Genomic DNA, 19,672 nt, shown 5'->3' on the forward strand with positions numbered 1-19,672 from the left:
TCTTAAGAGAAGGGTTAGGTAAGTCATTCCAACCTTTTAAGGTTTCCTTCTAGCTTCTGCTGTTTCTTGTCAGGTGTTTTCTTTTGTCTATTCTCCCAGATGAACACAGCTCTCATGCGGACCCCTCATATACTGGGGGGAGTGGAGCAAGCCGGGGGACAGAAGCCCTGAGGGGCAGTCAGAAGGTACATGTGAGTGAGACCAACTGTGTCAGCCCAGGATAGCTGGAAGCCTGCCTTCACCTGGCCTCCCCTCTGGCAGGCTTCCTGAAGTTTCCTGAACTTGGCAGAGGACAGCGTACCTTGATCTTCTACGTGGAATACTGTGATACTGGCTGAAATGCAGGGAGGACCAGAAGGGCTTTAGAAACCTACAACCAAAGCGGCCCTAGAACTCTGCTTTGCCAGGGCTTGTGGGGCTGTTCCAGGCCTGCCTTTCCTCGCCAGGATTGGGGCACTGGGGAGCTCGGCCCCCCCATAGAACGAGGGCCATACAGAGATGAGCGGCACCCTCTGGGGCTGCTGCTGCTGAAGGTCGTTGACTTTGCAACTCTGATTGCTTGGGCATCCTGGATGTCCCTGGATTGAGCGTCTCGGTTTCTCCTCTTTATTTCTTGGCCTTTCTGTTTTATTTTTCTGGGGAATTTCTTCCACTTTATCTATCTTTCAATGCTTTTTTTGAATTTGTATTTCTGCTGTCATAAACTTTCAAATTGAAGAATAATATATATTCAGGGAAGTGTTCTGTCATGTTTTTACATTCCAAGAGCTGTTTCTTATTTTCTGAATGTTCCTTTTTTTAATATAGCATATTGTTTTTTATTGTATATTTACAAGGTCTTTTCTTAGCTCTTTGAGTTCTTTGAAAGTTTTCCTGTTTTCTGAAATGTTTGTCTCTTTCTTATCTCCTTTGGTCTTTTTTTGTTTTGGTGTCTGTGTTCCATGTTAGAGATTTCCTGCTGCTCATTCCAATTAGGGAGGGAGGACCTAAAAAGCTGACCTGACCAAAAGCTGTGTGTGTGTGTGTGTGTGTGTGTGTGTGTGTGTGCATGCACACGCCCTTGTGTGGGGGCAAAGGGACTTTGTTTGCAGCGGGCCGGATGTAGGGTTATGAGGCAGCAGGCTGGCGCTCATCATAGGAACCCACTTGTGATTATTTTTATGTATTTCCTTGAGCCTGGTCAGCTTCTCAGGGAGGTGTCTTCTCTGGGTGGGCTCTTGGCCTGCTGCCAGCCTTCCGGCATCTGAGCTGGGGAAGAGGGTCAAGGTCTCTGTGTTTAGTGTGCAGACTGCACTCTCCATCCTGTCCTCCAGCTTGGTTTTCTCACTGTCCGGCACATCTTTTCCCACCAGTGTGCAGATCTGTGCCGCTCTTTTTGGGGGCTGTGTAGCGCTCAGTGTCTGACACACACCATCATTTATGCGTAAAAGTGGCTGCGTCTTCTCACCCTCCACAGCGGCAGAATTATTACCTTTTGAAAATGTCTGCTAATTTAATGGTGTCTTGTTTGAGAACCAAGTGAGTTCATTTACGTACAGCTCTTTTAGAACGGGCCGGCACTTCGTTCATTCTAAACAAGCATTTGTTATCCTGATTCTTGTCCATTCATCTCCTGTAGTCTTAGCGTTTCTCTTATCTGGGCAATTTACGTACTTACAATATTGACCTTTCATCATATTTTACCCTCTTCCCCCCCAGGGTGTTGTGTGATGTTGAGTTTTGGTATTTCATGTATTTTTTTTTAACAGAGAAAACCTGACATTTTTCGCTGTCAAGTCTCTGGCCCTTTCCCTTTGTAATTGTCCATGGCTCTAGAGCATGGCATGTCCTCCCCCACCCTGAGATCTGATAAATCGTCACCTATATTTGACCTTCATCTAGTAGTGATTAGCTTGAGCCAGTTTCAATTCTCGTCAGTGGGTCCGAGGCAGGCCCTGCGCCACCATGATGAATGTGTGCGTGGTGCCAGGGATCGATGGGCATATTAAGGAGCAGCGCCGCGGTCCCCGGCAGCCAGCTTCGTGATGCTCCCCCACACTGACGCTGGCTATTCATGATTTAAAATGACCTTCTTCCCATCCGGCTTATTCCGCAGGGCATGGGTACGCCACAGCTTCCTCAACCTTTCCTCAAAAAAGAAATGTTGTTTTTGACCATAAAAGAAATGCAATCTGGAAAGAACAGAAAGGTATAAAGAAGAAACAAATTGCCCATTTTCTCTCCACCCAGAGGCAATGACTGCAGACTTTTTGGTATATTTTCATCCAGCCTTAAAAAAAAAAAAAGATTCAACATAGTTGAGCTCCAACTATACATCTAATTTAAACCCTTCTTTCCCTCCACATACTGCAGTAGCAGTTTTTAATGCTGTAATTTATTGCTTTGGTTTTTAGTGTGGTCTCCAAATCCCTGGGGGGCCTCAAGACCCTTTCAGGGGGTCAAAACTATTTTCATAATAATACCTAGGAGTTATTTGCCTTTTCCATTCTCCTTCTCTCCTGAGTGTACATGGAGTTTTCCAGAGGCTATGAGGCGTGTGCTTTTGCAGTGGATTAAATACAGACGCAGCTTTGAGAACCCAGCTGTCTTGTATTAAGCCAGACATTAATGAGATCTGCAAAAATGTAAACAATGCCTTCTTACTAATTTTTCTTGGTCTTGGAAAATAGAGTTATTTTTATAAGAATGTGCTATTTCTGTTAACATGTGGGGGGTTTGTTACTGTTACTTTTACATAAATTAATAAATATTTTAAAATGTCCTCAGTTTTCACTTCTAATACGCGAAGTACCCATAGCTATAATCCGAAAAAACAACAGCTCTTTGGGGTCCTCAGTCATTTTAGACAGTGTAATTGAGGACCACAGTTTTCTTTACATCTGTAATTACATTTTGGGGAATCTCACTATTGTGTTGGTAAAAACGTCAGCACATCCTAGTTCTGGGATAAGTGAGTGGGTTCTTTTCCAGCCACGTCTCTGTCTTCTTCTGCTTGGTTAGCTCTCCAAACTGTGTGATGAAAACGTGATCCCAGGGGTCCAAGCCTCTGTCACCCTCTTGCCCCTTCTCCTCTGCCCTTCCTTTGGCCCTTTGTGGAGATGACTCAGCAGCATTACAAAACCATAAGCAAAATCCACCAACTCGACCATACACTGAAATTATCATTATCCTTTGAACACCCTCCCATCCATTTCTGGTCCATACGGGCTGTGTTTGTCAGAGTGTGCGTGCAGCTCTGCAGCCTGTCTTTCCATTTAACATTCTCTCCCAGCCCTGCCCGCGCCACACTGTGCCACCAGCCGCCTCTGCGTCTTTGGAGGGCCGTCAATTTTCACTGGTTCCATGACGCTCTATCGAGTTGATTAACTGTAATTTACTTAGCCGCCCTTGGACACTTAGGTGGTTTCTAATTTTTGCTATTATATAGATAATGCTGAAGTGGTTATCTTCATGCATGAAACCCTTTTCTGTTGGATTATTTCTTTCGGATTGATTCCCAGAAGTGGGACTGCTGGGTCAAAGGGTTGTACATTTTCATGGGTCCAGATACGTCTCTTGTCAGATTGCTTTCCAAAAGGATTATACCAATTTGCACTGCCACCGCAAAGCTTGCGGTGTTGGTAATAACCAACTATTTTGCTTAACTATCATGCCTAGAATTTTCCCTTGAAGCCCCAAGGGGGCAAAGGCCCTTATCTAAGTGAATGTGATCTGTAATTATTTAGACTAACACCAAAATTGCTTTCAGAACATTCTTAACCTGCTGAGTTTAGAATTCTAATTTGAATACATGCTAGCATTAAAAGTTTCACAAGTAGCAATTTCTCTCTCCCTACTCACAGTGTATTTACACAGCCTGACAACTGTAGGGAAAATGAAAGAGATTTTATAAACAGAAGTGCTCTCTTTCTGAACTAGTTGAAATGTTATTTTGAAAGGTACAAAAACACAAATTAAAACAGATTTTCATTGTCACCTTTGCTTAGAAAAGTTGTTTGTTTTCGTCCTGGGCTTCTTTTCATGTTCTTTTCTCTCATTCAAGTGTGTTCTGATATGGTTCTGATACGGTTCCGGTACCTGGGTGTCCTGCTGTGTTGCTGTTAGCCCGGGGGCGGAGGATTGGTGGCTGTCATCAGGTGCTGGCAGGGCTGCTGTGGGAGGGGAACGAGGTGTATTCGGGTTTGCTCCCAGGGCAGAAGTAGGACAGATGGTGGAAGGTGTGTCTGTGGGGGGAAGAGGTCAGCACATGGTGAAGAACTTTCCGGTGCTCAGAGCTGGGCAACTCGGGCAGTAGACTACTTGGAAAGGGAGCGAGGGCTGTTTTGCCTGGAGGGGTGTAGTGCAGGTTGGAGCCCATGTTGCTGGAGGGCTGGGAAGTAGATGCAGGCATTGGGTCAGCCACTCAGACCTTGGGCTCCAAGGCCGTTAATGGCTTGAGTGTCCTGTGGTCAGGGCCAAGATGGTGGCTGTGAGCTGCTCTGCCCTGAAATACTGCACTTTACTGCACTTGGGGCCCCGCCTGAGTGGAGCACAGCGCTCCACACACTGCGTATTCAAAAGAGAGTCAGGCACATTCCTCCTCTAATTTCTCTGAGCTTCAGCATTCTCATCTGTGAAATAATTATCTCACAGGGCTGTGAGGATCAGAGGAGGTTAGATGTGTGAAACCACTCTGTAAACGATAACGCTCTTACAAATGGAAGGTATTATCAAGAACTCCAAGCCGGGGTTTATTCTGTGATTGCCTCCTAAGCCGTGTTCCTAAGGGTGTGAGGCTTGCAATCCACTTTGCCTCCAGTTGCCTTGATTCGTTGATCAAATAATCCGGTGCGCACCCAGTGACCCCAGCAGACTCTTGAGGAGCTCAGGTCCCTCTAGGTGTGGCTTCTTGTCTTCCAGTCCAGCAGTGTGACATGGCTGGCAGTGGTTGAGGTGGTGGACTTGGGGGATGGCTCAGCTGATGGGCCTTGTGACGTCTCCATGAGCCAGGCTTCTGGACTTGCTGCTGTGTGGCCTGTGAATTCCTCGGGCCTTGCTTTATGCTGTCTCTGCTGTGAGCAGAGAAAGCACTCAGTGGCAGTGTCAGCAGGGCTGTTCCTCACTTCTTTCTTCATTTGGTCATCTGTATGGCTGTCCAGCCATCAGTTAAATTCTGGCTCTTTGCCAGGCCCTGGGATCAGAGGGGACCAGACCCACTCTTGCTGGTAAAAGGTGAATGAGGCACAGACATCAAAGCAGACTTGAGAGGGATGATGAGAAAGGCCCTCCAGGGCTATCTGTGCTGGGAACAGGAATATATGGGAGAGTGTGCTAGGTCTGTCAGTGCTGGAGGCAGAGGACAAGAAAAGCCTCAGGGAAGGGGAAGGACGAGTTGGGTCTTAGAAGATGAGGAGCCAGGATTTCGGGGCCAGCCTGGACAAAATAGGGAGGCCTATCTCCACAAAAAATTAAAAAATTGGCTGGGTGTGGTGGCACATGCCTGTAGTCCCAGCTACTTGGGAGGCTGAGGCGGGAGGATTGCTTGAGCCCAGGAGGTTAAGGCCACAGTGAGCCATGATTGTGCCACTGCACTCAAGCCTGTATCTCAAAAAAAAACAACAACAATGAAATCGATGAGGGGCAGCCAGGTGGGTGGGGAGGACAGCCCTGTACTGTGCATGCTGTGGGGCGGGGACAGTGAGGACGGCCAGGTGAAGTGCTTGGGCTGGTCATCAGCTTTAGCCCTGGATGGTCAGTGGCCCAAGGCCAGATGGCGCTTCCTGTACTTGTGCTGGGTCAGGCACCACACAGGGGTTTACATCTCATTTGCCCTCAGCTGGGTAATCATCAGAGCTCAGGGAGTCTTATTTCGGTGTTCAGTCCCAGCCCCTGTGCTTTCTGTGTGGCTTAGGGTAAGTTACTTAACTCTCTGGACCTTAGTTTCCCCATCGTAAGTCAAGGACAATAACAGCATCCACCTCAGTCTTCTGAGGATTAAACAAGAGAACCCACGGCAGACTCTCAGGAGAGTACCAGGCGTATGGCAGGCACTCCATAATGCAAGCTGGCAGCAGCATCAGCATCCGTATGCCCCCTTTACAGATGACAAAACTGAGGACCAGAGGGGCGTATTGAAGGACATGTAGCTCCTAAGCACGGGGCTGGCATTTGAACTCACCTTTGCTGCCTCTGCTTTCTGGGATTGTTCTAGTCACTTCCCTGCTTGGGGGCTCCAAAAGTGTAGTCGTGTAACTGTGGCAAGGCCTTTAATCTTTTTGTGTCTTAATGAGCTCGTCTGTAAAATGGCAGGAGCTCTGATATAAGTTCCATGAGGGCAGGGAATTTGTTTTCTTCCCTTGTTTTATCTCCAGTTTGAATGAATAGCACCTGCTCAGTCGACCATGCTCTTTGTGGGCCTACTTGAATTTTGGGATGTAGAGAATCTTGGAGGGGTCCAACTGCACTCCCCCACCCACCCCTCACCTCCAGTCTGTGCAGGAGGCATCCCTGTGGGGATTCGGGATTGGTTAAATGTCGCCAGGTTTGTGAAAGGGCTTTGGAAACTTTGCTGGGAGCTAAATCAAAGTGATGATTGTTCCACATCTGTGAAATGTTTTTTTTTTTTTTTTTTTTTTGAGACGGAGTCTCGCTCTGTCGCCCAGGTTGGAGTGCAGTGGTGCAATCTCGGCTCACTGCAAGCTCCGCCTTCCGGGTTCATGACATTCTCCTGCCTCAGCCTCCCGAGGAGCTGGGACTACAGGCGCCCACCACCACGCCCGGCTAATTTTTTGTATTTGTAGTAGAGATGGGGTTTCACCATGTTAGCCAGGATGGTCTCGATCTCCTGACCTTGTGATCCACCTGCCTCAGCCTCCCAAAGTGCTGGGATTACAGGCGTGAACCACTGCGCCCGGCCGAAATGTTTGTATTTACACTGTCAGGTAATGGTCATGGGCTTGCAGCTTGTACATTTGTTTATTATTTATTTATAAATCTTAAATCCAGAAAGGACTTGAGGAAGCCTACAATAAAAGATACAAACACAGTGAAGCTATTAAAGCAAGACAGACCATGAAAAGCCACCCCAAAAGGAGAAGGAAGCCTGTCAATCAAGCGCAGAGCTGACTGCTGTTCCCAGCTGGTGCCTTGCGTCTTGTTCTGTGTGCTGTGTTCTCGCAGACCCAAGGCAGGTGGCACAAGTTTGCCCAGTTCTTGCTGTCCAAGAGAAGCCAACACAAGTGGCCTCACAAAGGCATGTGGGATGGCAGGACAGTAGTGCTCAGAGGAAAGGCAGTTAGCTTCTTGTCTCAGCTGCCCAGGGAGGAGATGAAGATCATAGGAGAGGCCAGGGGAAATCTCTGTCCGAATCAAGCTAAGGAGAGGTCACATGTTCTTTCTAGGGTGGGCTGTGGCAGGGCCACAGGTCCCTGGGCCAGACTGCCAGAGTTGTTTTGCTCTTTTCTGTGCCTTGGTTTCTCTCCTGCCAAGTGGCTGTAACAATACCTATCTCACAGACCTGTTGTGAGGATAAATGTTGTGGTTTTGGCCAGGGACCTTGCAAAGTGCTTTTGTTAACCTGACCTGTATGGTCTGTGTTTCTCATGGTGAATGTTGTATTTCTCAAATGGCTCAAGTCCTTCAACTCAGGTCCCCGAGTTCAGAGGAGATGCTGCTGGAGGGGTGGCAAGGTGGGGTCTCCCCTCATGCCCTTGGCTCTGTCCATACTGACGTTGTCAAGTGTGACCTGTTTGTTATTGCCTAAAAACACTTAACGAGTTCAAAGCAAAGGGAACATACTTTTTAATTATTTCTCTGCTTGTCTCCAGCAATGCTGTTGTCAAGGAAACCAAAACCTTTGGAAAGCTTTTCAGCTTCTCGGTCGGAAGAGGATACTTGTACAGTGCGTATATTGTCGGTGGAAATGGACCTGTCGTTCTGTAACAAAATCTGTTTCTTTTAAAAGGGCTTACTTCCTTCACTTCTTACAAATGGACTCTTTTTGGCCTTTTAACAGAAGATGGAAAGTTGTTACTGGTATTTTCTCTTTTAAAGAATTGCCTGCATTCTTGACATAGTATTTCATTCATTCAACATCTGTTGTGAGACTTGGGTGCTAGGGATGGGAGTGTGATACAGAGATGAATATAGCCTTTCTGGAAAGGCTCCTGGCTCATTGAAAGAAACAGGTGGACAGATCATTATAGCGCAGCATCATGACTGCTCTGAAGGGTGTTGGGTAAGGTGCTCTGGGGCATAAAGAACAGCCTGGGAGGGGCAGTGTCAGCAAGTCACAGGAGTCCTAGAGGATGGGTAGCCATTGCTCAGCAGCAAAGCGATAGAAAAGCATTCCAGGCCAAGGGAACAGAGTGTGCAAAGGCAGGGAGGTGTACAAGAGCATGCTGCCATCAGCAAACTGCAAGGTAGCTGGACGAGGCTGGGCATTGGATGCATAAGGCATGAGGAGCAAGACAGGCTGGAGAAAACTTTTTTTGTTTTTGAGACGGAGTCTTGCTCTGTCGCCTAGGCTGGAGTGCAGTGGTGTGGTCTTGGCTCACTGCAACCTCTGCCTCGCAGGCTCAAGCAATTCTCCTGCCTCAGCCTCCTGAGTAGCTGGGATTACAGGTGTGCACCACCACACCTGGCTAATTTTTGTATTTTTGGTAGAGACAGAGTTTCACCATGTTGGCCAGGCTATCTCCAACTCCTTACCTCAAGTGATCCACCCGCCTTGGCCTCCCAAAGTGCTGGGATTACAGGCATGAACCACCACACCCGGCCTGGAGAAGACTTCTGATCAGGAGTGGGGAGTGTGAAGAGGTTGCAATACATGCTCTTCGAAGTGCATTCCATTTCCGCCTGACAGAGCCTTGCTTCTTGACATGCAGAGGCATGTCACTCCTTTTGTTCTTGCTTCAGAGGGAAGGGACACTGCTAACACGCTGGAGTTTAATAATTTACTTTTGCTGCAGGAGTATGGCCTTCCTTGTAATGTTTCAGCCAGCATTCCAGTAAAATTTTATGATAGTTAAGCCCTATCGGAGCATTGGTTTTATATGAAAAAGATAAATCATTGTTAGAAAAACAGGAGTCTTAACTTTTAAACACCCCTTGTTATTTTTCTTGTAAAACTTTAAAAAATAATTTCAGATTTATGGAAGAGTTATAAAAATAATACAGAGAGTTCCTATGTACCCTTCACCCAACTTCTTCGAATGGTAACATCTTGCATAACCTGGTGCATTTATCAAACTAAGAAATTAACATTGGTACAACTCTGTTAATTAAACTATGGACTTTATTTGCATTTCACCAGGTTTTCCACTAATGTCCTTTTTCCGTTTCAGGATCCAATCTAGGATGCCATATTGCATTTAGAGAGCTCTTGCTATTTAATAAGTAATTTGTTTTTTTGGGGGGTGGACTGGGCAGTAAGGAATGGACTGGAGCTTGTCCTGGCCACTAATTTTGAGTTCCCTGTTCTGAGCAAACCCTGCACATCCTGGCTGATGTCCCATATCAGGAGACCAGAGCCTTGAAGCTACAGTTAAGCTCGTACTGGATGTCTTTTGGTTTTCAAGACTTGCTTCCTAGTTCAATCATGAACAAGACAAGCAGAAGATTTGCACCTTAATGAGGCTTAAAGAGCACTCACTTATAAAGTGCCATTAGTGACTTGTCCTTAATGGTAGCTGTTTAGTGATAACAGGTTTCTCATTCCTTTTTTCTTTTTTTTTTCTTCCTTTTTTCCTCCTTCTGGATTTAACCCAGCCAGCCTTTTGGGCTAATGTTGACATTAGCTAGAATTCGAATTTAGACTGCTTACCACATTGATGTTTTTACACAACCTTCCTGTGGTTTATCGGATAATTGAGTGTGTCTTGAGGCAGTAACTGAGTTGAAATGTGTTGCATTTAATGAGTGAAACTAGAGCATGCTTTGCATACCGATAGATGCACATCTGTAGGTGATTTTTCCGACAAAAGTCCCAGCCTAGGACGTTTCCTTCCATTCCTTTCCCTTCCTTCTCTTGCATTTCCCCCCTTTTCCTTTCTCTCTCATCCTTTCTCTCATGTCTTTTTCGGTACTTTTTTCACTATGCTCTCCTTTGGCCTTGCACCTGGTCCTGTCTCCGCCTGCCTTTTCTCCTTTGCATTTCCTCCTTTCCGTCCCCCTGTGCCCCTCTCGCTCTCTCTTGCCAATTCCCATCTTCTATGCCTTTCCCTGCAACAGGCCAGTGAAGCTGTTGCCACGGAAACAGAAGCCCAGCAGAAGCTCTGTTCTGCTTTCCGGATGCTTCTAACGATGATGACGCAGATAATATTGATTTCTAGAATCAGCTAAGCCCTGGCCTGTGGCCTCTGGAGTCCCTTCATTTTCCAAAGGCCAAGCTGATGCCACAGCTCATCATTCTGTTCAGTAGATGGTCATTTTTGATTTCAAAATTGAAACTTCAAAATTTTGAGTAATCTACTTCCCTGTGGCTCCAGAAGACTGGGTGCAACCATGTGAAAAAGACTTACTTGAATTTACTTACATTAACTGAGGGAAAAATACCAGATGAGGAGGGTACGGGTGCTGCAGGTTCCAGGAATAACTTAAGTTACACATGGGAGAGGGTTAGATGCATTTGTTGAATTACTGGGCTGAATGACTGCTTTTAAAGGACTTGGGGGAAAGAGAAGTACAGTTGAGGCCTTAAAAAAGATACTTAATTCAATGAATGTTCAGTGAGGACTGGCCATTTCTGAGACATGGGGTCAGGTGCTGTGGGGCACCAGGAGTGTGAAAAGCACATTTCCTCCTCTGGAGGAGTGGCTTTTTAAGTGACAGAGCTGGGGCATGTGTGTCCTGTACCGCAGTGACATTCCTTGATACTTGTCATGGTGATCCAGTGAGTGCAGCTGTTGTCAGTTCTGCCGTACAACCCACATGGCTGCACATTAACTGGGCTTTGTGGTCCCCTCGGAGGGCTGTTGGCGCCTGGTCCTCAGTGGAGCTGGTTTATGATGGTGGCAGCCTTGCTGCACCTTTCCGGGTTTGACTCAGGCCCAGCTTGTTGGCATTAGCTAGGATTTGGAGTTTTGCCATTCAGCCAGCACCAGCTAATAGCCCAGCAAGGAAGAGTTAGTTCATGGATTATATTTAAGTTAGTACTTATTCCCAAAGGTAACTTTGTTTAATAAAAACCTTAAGCCCTTATTACTGTGCTTCTGGGTATCCTGGCTCCAGTGTGTAAAAATAAGACTTATAAAATTCAAACATTATTTGTGAAAATGCAAAAACATTTTCATTAATACAGGGCATGATAAAAAGCAAAAGGCACTTTCCATCTGTGGCTAAGTGGTCTTTCTGCACTGGGGTCTTTTTGTTTTCATAATCACTTTGCGCTTATTTAAATATTGCCCTTTCAGTCGTGAATTTTAAAGGGAGGAAGCTTTGGTGTGTGAATAACTTTACAACTACCCACAGTATTTCCATCCAGTTGCTATGACTTAAGTTGATAATGGACCCCACACAGTAGTCACTAATGGATGATAATCTAGGAGTGTTTTTGTTATTGTTTTTATTTTAGAAGAAAGGTTTGAAATTAGCATAGTAAATCTCTGTGGGATCTTTGCAAATAAAAGAATGTTCACGTTAAAAACAATTTTCAAGAAAGATGTATGGTAATGAATAAAACATCAGTGAGTGAAAATAAGCGTGTTTAATTATTCAAGTAGAAGTAGTAATTTAAACTAATTATTGCTTGCGGATTTCATAATTCAGTTTTTGTCTCACAATAATATTTCCTCTGGGCCTCCGGGGCGCGTCGGCGGCTGCTCGCTGTTCCTGGGGCGGGAGAGACCTCCCCCTCCCCGTGGCTGCAGCCTCTGCCCCACCGAGCCAGAGCCAGAGAGGCCCAGTTTCTGCTTCTGCCGGCCTCCTCGTGGTCTCAGTCCACATCTATCCCCCTTGCACTGCCTCATTAGGCATTTCCTTGCTTATCACCTTCTCTGGTTGATTCGGGCATCTCAGACCAGTTCTGTCCATTGAGGTCTGAGTGTCGTGGAGGCTGGTCCCCTGCCTCCTCCCCGGTGTCTTAGACTTCCTTGGCAGGGGTGGCCCTGAGCACCCTGCCCATGTCCCCAGGAGGCAAGTCCTTGCCGTTCAGGGCTGCCTCAGGTTGGATCCCCTCCAGGAGGCTCCCCTGCCTGGGGATTGATCACTTCTTCCTCCCCAGTGCTTTGTACCAGCAGGTTCTGGTGGTAGTAAGAGAATTACAGAGAGAATTTGTTGGTTGACATTTTTCTTTTTTGGGCTTCTTTTTACTTTGTTTCTGATCCTAAAGGAAGAAAAACATATTCATACAGAGGAATGGAAAAGTACCAGAGAGCCTGAGAGGCAGTGGGGAGGACACTTCATCCCCTGGAACTTGCACCTGGCTTCTCTGCTCCTGGGTGGCTCTGCACGTGTCTTAGTTCTGCTCATTCTGTGTATGCAGGCACTTGCCATTTTCTCTGTGGAATTTGAGGGCTTGGATGTGATTTTTAGCATGGACACTTTGGAGGGGCTCAGTTACATTCTCCTTGGTGCACCTCCTGGGGTACAACTGGCATTAGCAGGTGCTGATGAAGGAGTAGGAAGTGCTGCAAAGCACTTTTGCTCAATCGTGCGAGGCTTTTAAAACCCAGTTATTACTGCTACTCCCATGAATGCCCATAATGGCACAGGAGGTTTTCTGAACCTTTCTTTATTGCACAAATGCTCCTGGAACAGATCTTGACAATTCAGGTGAATTATTATTCTACCCCTCAGAAGGTAAAGGGAAAGCTTTCTGTTTGTAACTTTTTCTTCCCAAGTGTCCTCTGTCAAAAGGTAGTGACATCTTCTCTCCTGATATGTGACGTCCATTATTACCTCGGTATAATCATAAAGCTCACACCCAAAAGCTTTCCATCCAGCACGTCAGAGGGACAATCTTTATTTAAGACACACTCCCCCACTTTTCTTTGTTATTGCTTTCTCCTAAAAAAAAAAAACAAAACCAAAAAATCAAAAAATTCCCTTGGCTTTAAAGGCATGATCTGGGCTAGGAGTGACTCGTTCTTTTGCAAGGTTATTGTCATAGGCAGGAACAAGACAGGTGGGACATGGGGGTGGACAGAGTGATGCGCTGTCAGCCAGGGGCCAGGGGTCCAAATGGGGTTCTGTCATTTTCCAGCTGAGCCCTCGGCAGGCCAGGCAATTTCTGGGTGTTGGTTTCCTCTCTTGGCAAACATAGAGGCTCAACTGTGTTCTCTGAGGCCCTTTTAAGCTGAGTAGTTTTGTGATCTCCAAACTAACTGTAGCTAAATGAGGTAATGAGAGAATTACAGGTGTCCCCCAAACTCTTCCTGCAGAGTAGTTGAAATGAGCATTCATGATTCTGAATCGGTTTTCTCTCCCTGTGAGCTCCAGAGGAAGTCATTAAGCAGAGAAATTACTAACACCTCGTGACCACCGTGGAGCAGAGCCAGGGGCACGAAATAAAATGCCATAGGGATGAGACCCGTGCAGCCAGCCAGCACTTAGGGAGATCTGCTAGGAGGACACCCTTAGGTTGTCCTCCTGAGGGTCCAGCCCTCTCTGAGGGGTTGACAGCTGAGCTTCATTACGTTCTTGACCCTGTCTCGCTGACCTCAGGGCTTCTGTATTAGCAGTGTCCAACAAATGGTTGTTGGGGTGAATTAAATTTTCTCTTATGGATAGTGTCCTATCCTTTCTACCAAGTAAGCTTCCTCTCGGGGAAGAGACCATTCTTCTTTATTTCTTTGAAAACTGATTTTTTAAGAATAGAAATACAAATTGGTATTTGATGTACAGAGAAAAATGAGTCGTGCTCCCATGCTCTGGATCTGGAGAGGCCACATCTGGCTCATCTCTGGATCCTAGGGAGCATCAGCCTTGCCGTGGGAAGCAAAGCGGGCCTGGGCTGCCTTGAATTAGAATGACCTGGCTGCCTTTCCAACCAAAGCACATATGGCCAAATGTTGGGAGAGTGAATTGGAGGCAAAAGCCTTTGGAATTATTGGGATCGTTGGGACTCCTGGGAAGGAACTGGGCAGATTTGTGTTTGAGCCATGGCTCTTTCTACCCTAGGTCTGGGGAAGGTCCTCTGCTTCTCCCCCACTGTTTCTTGTAAAGTGGTGCTGGCATGCTTAGCCCGCAGGGCTGTTGTGTATGGTCAGGAGATAGCAGCCCTGAGTAGTGCCCAGAGCTTAGCACAGATACAGCAACTCTGGTTCCTTTGAAGATGGAAAATGAATATGTATCATTTGGCAATGATAATGTAAAATCAGTGTGGAGGTGTGATTCCATTAATAGATTGCTGATGAACTCAACTTTTTAGGAGCCCGTTTGTTGCTTAGAGTGAAGCTGGCTGGAATGAGGCAGAATTAGAATGACAGGCCCACTCTTCTAATTGAAATGCACATGAAGTGCTTGGCCCTCAGACTTCCATCGAGATGATTGCAGTGATCAATATTCCAGTTTGCTTGGCTGGCAGCTTCCGGGGAATAAGAATGGATGATGGACCCAGGGAAAGTACTGCCAAACAGAGCATTAAGTTAATTCCTGTTTGCCTGGGTTCTGGCCTGCCTGATGAAGTGCCTTGAGTAGAATGAGGCAATGTTGGTGTGGACTTTATCATGGGCTGTACCCAGTATCACAAGAGCTCAAGGTGGCTGCTCCCTGACATTCACTTTTGGTAGCAATTAGAACTCCCATTTGCTGAGATCCTACCATGTGTCCAGCCCAGTGCTGGGCCCCATACGCACATGATTGGTCCCCCTGAAACCTCTGAGGTGCCGATGGCATGCCCCAACCTGCGTCCAAGGACCTGGGGCTGAGAGGGCCTCAGGGCACGGTGCTGCAAGGTGCGGAGCTGGGAATGGAGTCCAGGGCTGTTTGCTCCCAAAGTCTATGTTCGTTCCACTCTCCCACGCCAGCCCGTAAGTGTAAAGCAGATGTTTGGAACCTGGGTTCTCATTTTCCTGTAGAATCAGTGTTATTCATGGCAGTGAGGGCCTGGTCTCAAAAGCTGGGTTTACCACTGACAGTGTCATTTCTCATGTGGTTTTCACCTTGACCTTACCACCATGGGAGGCAGAGCGCACACCCCTCTGGTGTTCCTGGCTGGGAAACAGGGGCCCCTACCTGTGGGCTGCGTGGGCCAGGAGGGTCAGCAGGCCCTTGGGGGAAGTGCAAATGCATCCTTATCTCTGTAGTGCTTCCTCCCAGGCATAGGGTCCGCTGGAGGCCTGGCGTTCCCATGGGGCTCACTGTGTGTGCAAATGTTCTGTCCCAGTTCAGTCTGCTGACTGGGAGATGCTGACCTGACTCTGTTTCTCTAGGGCCATGATCCTGACTCTGAAATGCCAAGTATACACCCCTCCCTCCTCCTGCCTGCATTCTCCTTCTGCTGTTACATGGGGGCATGCACCCCTCTCCCCTGCAGCTCTGGCCTCTGCTGGGCCCATCCCTCCTGTGAGTGACATGGTTATTCCTTGTATCATTGTCTGAACTTGGCACTGGTGTGTTTGGGCCCTTCCTCTTAACCCTCCTACCTTGTGTCCCCATGCTAGTTCTGTCTTTCCTGTGCTCGCAGAATCTGTCTGTCCTCTTGCCCCCACCTCAGAGGCTTCTTCCAGTCTCACCCCCTCATTCTCAGAATTGAATTTTTTATCTGTGGAAGGTGGCAGCTGGCAGCCAAACCAGGAGCCTAAGTCTTGGGCAAAGCTTCAACAAGGATGCTGAGCTCAGGGGCCTAGGAATCCTCTCTCTGCCCCATCTTTTTTTTTTGAGATGGAGTTTTGCTCTTGTTACCCAGGCTGGAGTGCAATGGTATGATCTCAGCTCACCGCAGCCTCTGCCTCCCGGGTTCAAAGGATTCTCCTGCCTCAGCCTCCTGAGTAGCTGGGATTACAGGCATGCACCACCACGCCTGGCTAATTTTGTATTTTTAGTAGAGACGGGGTTTGTCCATGTAGGCCAGGCTGGTCTCCAACTCCCGACCTCAGGTGATCCACCCGCCTCAGCCTCCCAAAGTGCTGGGATTACAGGCATGAGCCACCATGCCTGGCCTCTCTGCCCCATCTTATAGGCACCCTGGGGCCTAGGATGGGGCTGGGGTGCAGGGGATGGGGAGGGAGGCTGGGCCCCCTGGAGGATCAGTAACTCTGTTATATGTCTTCACTATAATCTCATTTTGGGCTGCACTCTGCTTTTGTTTTTGTTTGGGAGCCTGCTTGGAGGCCAGCACTAACAGAAACATGCAAGGGCAGAAGCAGAGCTGGCCATCGGGAGGTGGGTGGCCTGCAGGGCCTAGCTCTGTGGCGCATGGATTGGTGTGTCAGTCGCCCTTCCTGGCAGCAGCTCTCAGTGATTAGGCTTGGAGGAGCCTTGGCTTTAAGTTCTCTTTGGGGAAGGGCGGATATTAGTGCTTAAGAAACGCCACTCCCGAGGAAACCCACCTGGATGTTTTTCTCTGTAACTGGCCATTTGGAGACAGGGCCAGGCTGTGCATAGGCTTTTGAGTTTCTCAGGTGCCTACATGGGGCTCAAAATGATGATGCAATCAATCCGTTTCTTGACTTTTGGGCCTGGGTCCAGCTCAGAATGGAGGTGTGCTCCATGGGCTTGCCTTCGGAGAAGATGGTTAGCAGGGCTGTGGGAAGGGATGTGTGGTGGACAGAGGTACAGGCTCCCCAAGGCTTAGAGGCTTCAGAAGCCCATGTCAGGCACGTGGGGCCCAGGTTCAAAGCAGAGGATGGAGAAGGGAGGGTTAAAGCCTTCCTTCTGACGTTGATATGTGTGTCTCAGCACTGGGACCTGGAGCAGTCGGCTTCGGAGGCCCGTTGGACTGTTGAATATTGATGGTGTGGGTTTGGCTGAGGAGCATAGGCAGGTGTGTTTGCCATTCTTATGTACTCAGGAGGGGTATGAAGGGCAAGTCAGTGGCACAATTCAAGCAAAGTGCTGCTGTTACTCGAGCATTTGCTGTGTGCCAGGATCTTCACACGGACAGCCTCAGTTTTCATAGGAGTCACTTTTAGGCATTTTATCTCCATTTTGCAGTTGAAGCAATTGATACTTAAGATGGTAGTATCTTTGTTTAGTGTGAAGAGCCAGGAATTGAGTGGGGAATGCCCTTATGGCAGCAAGACAGTGGCACCAAGTCCTGCCTAGGTGGCTTGTCCAATGATCAGAGTCCAAGGCCACATTGCTACCAAGTGGCAGAGCTGGAATCAGCGCTACTCAGCCTCACACATTTTGCTCCCTGTGCCTCTTCAGAACTTCGGCCTGTCACATGTGTGCAGCTGTGGGAGCCCAGATTGTGAGTTGATCAAGGTCAGGGCCACACCCTGCACTTCCTGCCTGACACAGAGTAGGTGCTGGACAGACATTTGTGTTGTGAAAGAGTGAGTGAGTGAATGAAAGACACACCATGGGGATAGAAAAATAAGGGGCAGGCCCCAGGGCGGTTGGCAGATGTGAAATGTGGTTTAAAGACTTGGCAGTAAATCTGTGGCTAGGCCCCCCTTCTCCTTTCATTCCCTTCTTCCTTCCTTCTTGGGATTCAGAATTGCTCTCTGGGCAGAGGGCTGCGGAGCAGGAGCGAGGCTGCAGGTGTGAGAAGGACCCCGCCGTGCCAGGGCAGCCTCAAGGAGCTGTTGAGCGAGTTGAGCCCAGAAGACAAAGGTCGCTGAAGTCCTTCCAGGAGAAGAAGATCAATGCCTGGGCTGAGCCTGCGGTTAACATCTTAATAGTAACCGGAGAGTTTCTGAGAGATTAGGTGATGATATATACTCAGAGCTCAGACAGTTAATTTGCATTGTGTCCTATATTCCTGAAAAGTTGCTTTCAGATTCTTATTGATGTGCTCACATTTTTTGGGGTAATTGTCCTCCTTTGACATTAATAACCCCCCTGTTTACTCTCAGGCTCACATACCTCTCAGAGTCCAGGAGGCAGTGAGGGAAAGCTTTTAATTCAAAGCCCTATCCATCTTCCCAACTCAGGTGAGATGGGGACTAGAAAGTCGGTCTGGCTGAAGCTAAGTGAGGCCAGCCTTCTGGGTGTTGGGTATCAGGTTCTGGACGGGGCTGGCAGTTGTGTGTGGGGCTCATGGATGGTTTTAGGCCCTTCTGCCCCCTTTGTCAGTGTGCCCTTGTGGGAAGCCGGTGCGTTTCCAGGGGAGCTGCTGGAGGCTTCTTATGGCATGCAGATCAAGGAAGACCTGTAGACTACATGCACCCTGGCGCTCTGGGTATGTTGTTTCTGCAGGTTTGGGAGGCAGCTGTCCTCCAAAGCATACAATTACTAAGAACAGGGACCATAGTTTCACACTTCAGTGCCTAAACAGGCCCTGACACCCAGTTTGGCTAGGTTGAGTCTGGGTGCCAGAGATTAGAGCTGGGATTGGAGATGTAGCCCGTCCCCGTTCAGGAGCCTCTCACGTGTATTGCCTCTCACGTGTATTGTCTGTGAGTGTGCTGGGCTCCCAGACACATATGTCACAGTGAGCTGTGGGAATGACCCTTGACTCCTATCCTGATGGGAGTGGGAGAGGGTGCAAGAACTGGCCCTGGAGACAGGGGAGGGGTTGTGAGAGCCAGAGCACAGATGCCTGCACACCAGGCACTGGGGGCGGGGGTTGGGATGGAGAGTGTGGTGATGGTAATGGCCTATAGTCGTGGGGGCTTGGGGACTTCTGAGGGATGTGGGTAAATCTGGAGTTTTTCCTATAGGAACGGGGAGCCATGGAACGTGCGTGAAGCGGTGTGTAAAACTGGAGAGAAAAACCCTAAGGAGACCTCATCGGACGTTCCTGTGATAATCTAGGCCTCAGGACAGGCAGACTGGGATGCTTGTGTTACCCCTAACTTTAGATTACTCTCCCACTGCTCCCCTCCTTCACTGTAGATTCCCACAATTTCAGTATCAATGTAATTACAATTTAGGGGCTTAGAAACTCCTGTATTTATTGAGAACCCACTTAATTTACATATATTGAGTTTCAATATTGCACAACTCTGTGTGGAGGGGTTAGGGTGGAGGAGACCTGAGATGACAGAAGGCCATGTTCTCTAGGGATGGTCTGCAGCCCTCAGTGCTGTCTCTTTTCCCTCCAGCGCCCCCTCTGTGCCCCCCTCCAATCCCTGCTCCCCCCAGTCTCTATAGCTGAAGGCTAGGACGAACTGTGGGGTTGTGAATATTTACGCAGGCAGGCATAGGACTCAGTGACGCAGCTGAGAGCCACGCAAGTGTTTGGTGACTCATCAGACCTTCTCCAAAGACTTGTGATATTTTTCTCCTCTGAAGGGCCGAAAGCAATTTGCAGTTAATGATAGTATATGACGCCAGAAGAGTACGCAGACCTTCCGGCTCATCTTTTCTGTGCCTTGGGTGTTTTGTTTTTGAAAAAACCTATGTGAATTATTTTCCCTTTAGTAATGTTTATTTTATTCTGATTATTAAAATAATGTATGCTCATTGTAGAAAATACATAAATGCATTAAATAGGAAATAAAATGCATGAATTATTTTTCCATTACAGTGTTATTAGGAATGTTTTGCCTGTGCAAAGGAGATGTGGAGCGCTAGACTTATTTTATTTGAGGTGCTTGTCGAGATAACTGAGATCAGTGGGTTGCAGCCTGTGCTCTGGGGACTC

At 47.8% G+C, this 19,672-nt stretch overlaps 1 protein-coding gene and 1 long non-coding RNA gene across 7 annotated transcripts in view, besides 4 other annotated features; both read left to right on the forward strand.

Annotated features, from left to right (window-relative positions):
- The window catches only part of WDR25 (WD repeat domain 25), a 153,819-nt gene that overhangs the window by 12,896 nt on the left and 121,251 nt on the right, over window positions 1-19,672 (forward strand). For 2 of the 6 annotated variants that reach the window (NM_001350949.2, NM_001387351.1), the window contains exon 2: window positions 7,806-7,879. The exons of the other annotated variants lie outside the window; for them this stretch is intronic. In NM_001350949.2, the coding sequence (NP_001337878.1) occupies window positions 7,808-7,879 (72 nt within the window). In that variant the 5' untranslated portion in view covers window positions 7,806-7,807. The remainder of the gene's footprint in view (window positions 1-7,805; window positions 7,880-19,672) is intronic. 6 annotated transcript variants of the gene reach the window in all.
- Window positions 4,366-4,870: an enhancer, noted in NCBI's record as "H3K4me1 hESC enhancer chr14:100860083-100860587 (GRCh37/hg19 assembly coordinates)". NCBI's record gives its function as "activates a minimal SCP1, AML or CMV promoter by ChIP-STARR-seq in primed H9 embryonic stem cells {active_cell/tissue: H9 hESC(primed)}" and the evidence as "EXISTENCE:reporter gene assay evidence [ECO:0000049][PMID:30033119]".
- Window positions 8,184-9,383: an enhancer, noted in NCBI's record as "BRD4-independent group 4 enhancer chr14:100863901-100865100 (GRCh37/hg19 assembly coordinates)". NCBI's record gives its function as "activates an origin of replication core promoter dependent on BRD2, P300/CBP, MED14 and CDK7 cofactors, and independent of BRD4, by STARR-seq in HCT116 cells {active_cell/tissue: HCT116}" and the evidence as "EXISTENCE:reporter gene assay evidence [ECO:0000049][PMID:35650434]".
- Window positions 8,712-9,006: an enhancer, noted in NCBI's record as "tiled region #10653; HepG2 Activating DNase matched - State 5:Enh". NCBI's record gives its function as "activates a minimal TATA promoter and a strong SV40 promoter by Sharpr-MPRA in HepG2 cells {active_cell/tissue: HepG2}" and the evidence as "EXISTENCE:reporter gene assay evidence [ECO:0000049][PMID:27701403]".
- Window positions 14,510-15,011: an enhancer, noted in NCBI's record as "H3K4me1 hESC enhancer chr14:100870227-100870728 (GRCh37/hg19 assembly coordinates)". NCBI's record gives its function as "activates a minimal SCP1, AML or CMV promoter by ChIP-STARR-seq in primed H9 embryonic stem cells {active_cell/tissue: H9 hESC(primed)}" and the evidence as "EXISTENCE:reporter gene assay evidence [ECO:0000049][PMID:30033119]".
- On the forward strand, window positions 17,578-19,549 carry LOC105370664 (uncharacterized). Its single transcript, XR_944204.3, has 2 exons — window positions 17,578-18,265; window positions 18,747-19,549. It is a non-coding gene; the product is annotated as an uncharacterized LOC105370664 (long non-coding RNA).

This window comes from Homo sapiens, chromosome 14, assembly GCF_000001405.40.
Source record: "Homo sapiens chromosome 14, GRCh38.p14 Primary Assembly".
NCBI classification, from domain to species: Eukaryota; Metazoa; Chordata; class Mammalia; order Primates; family Hominidae; genus Homo; species Homo sapiens.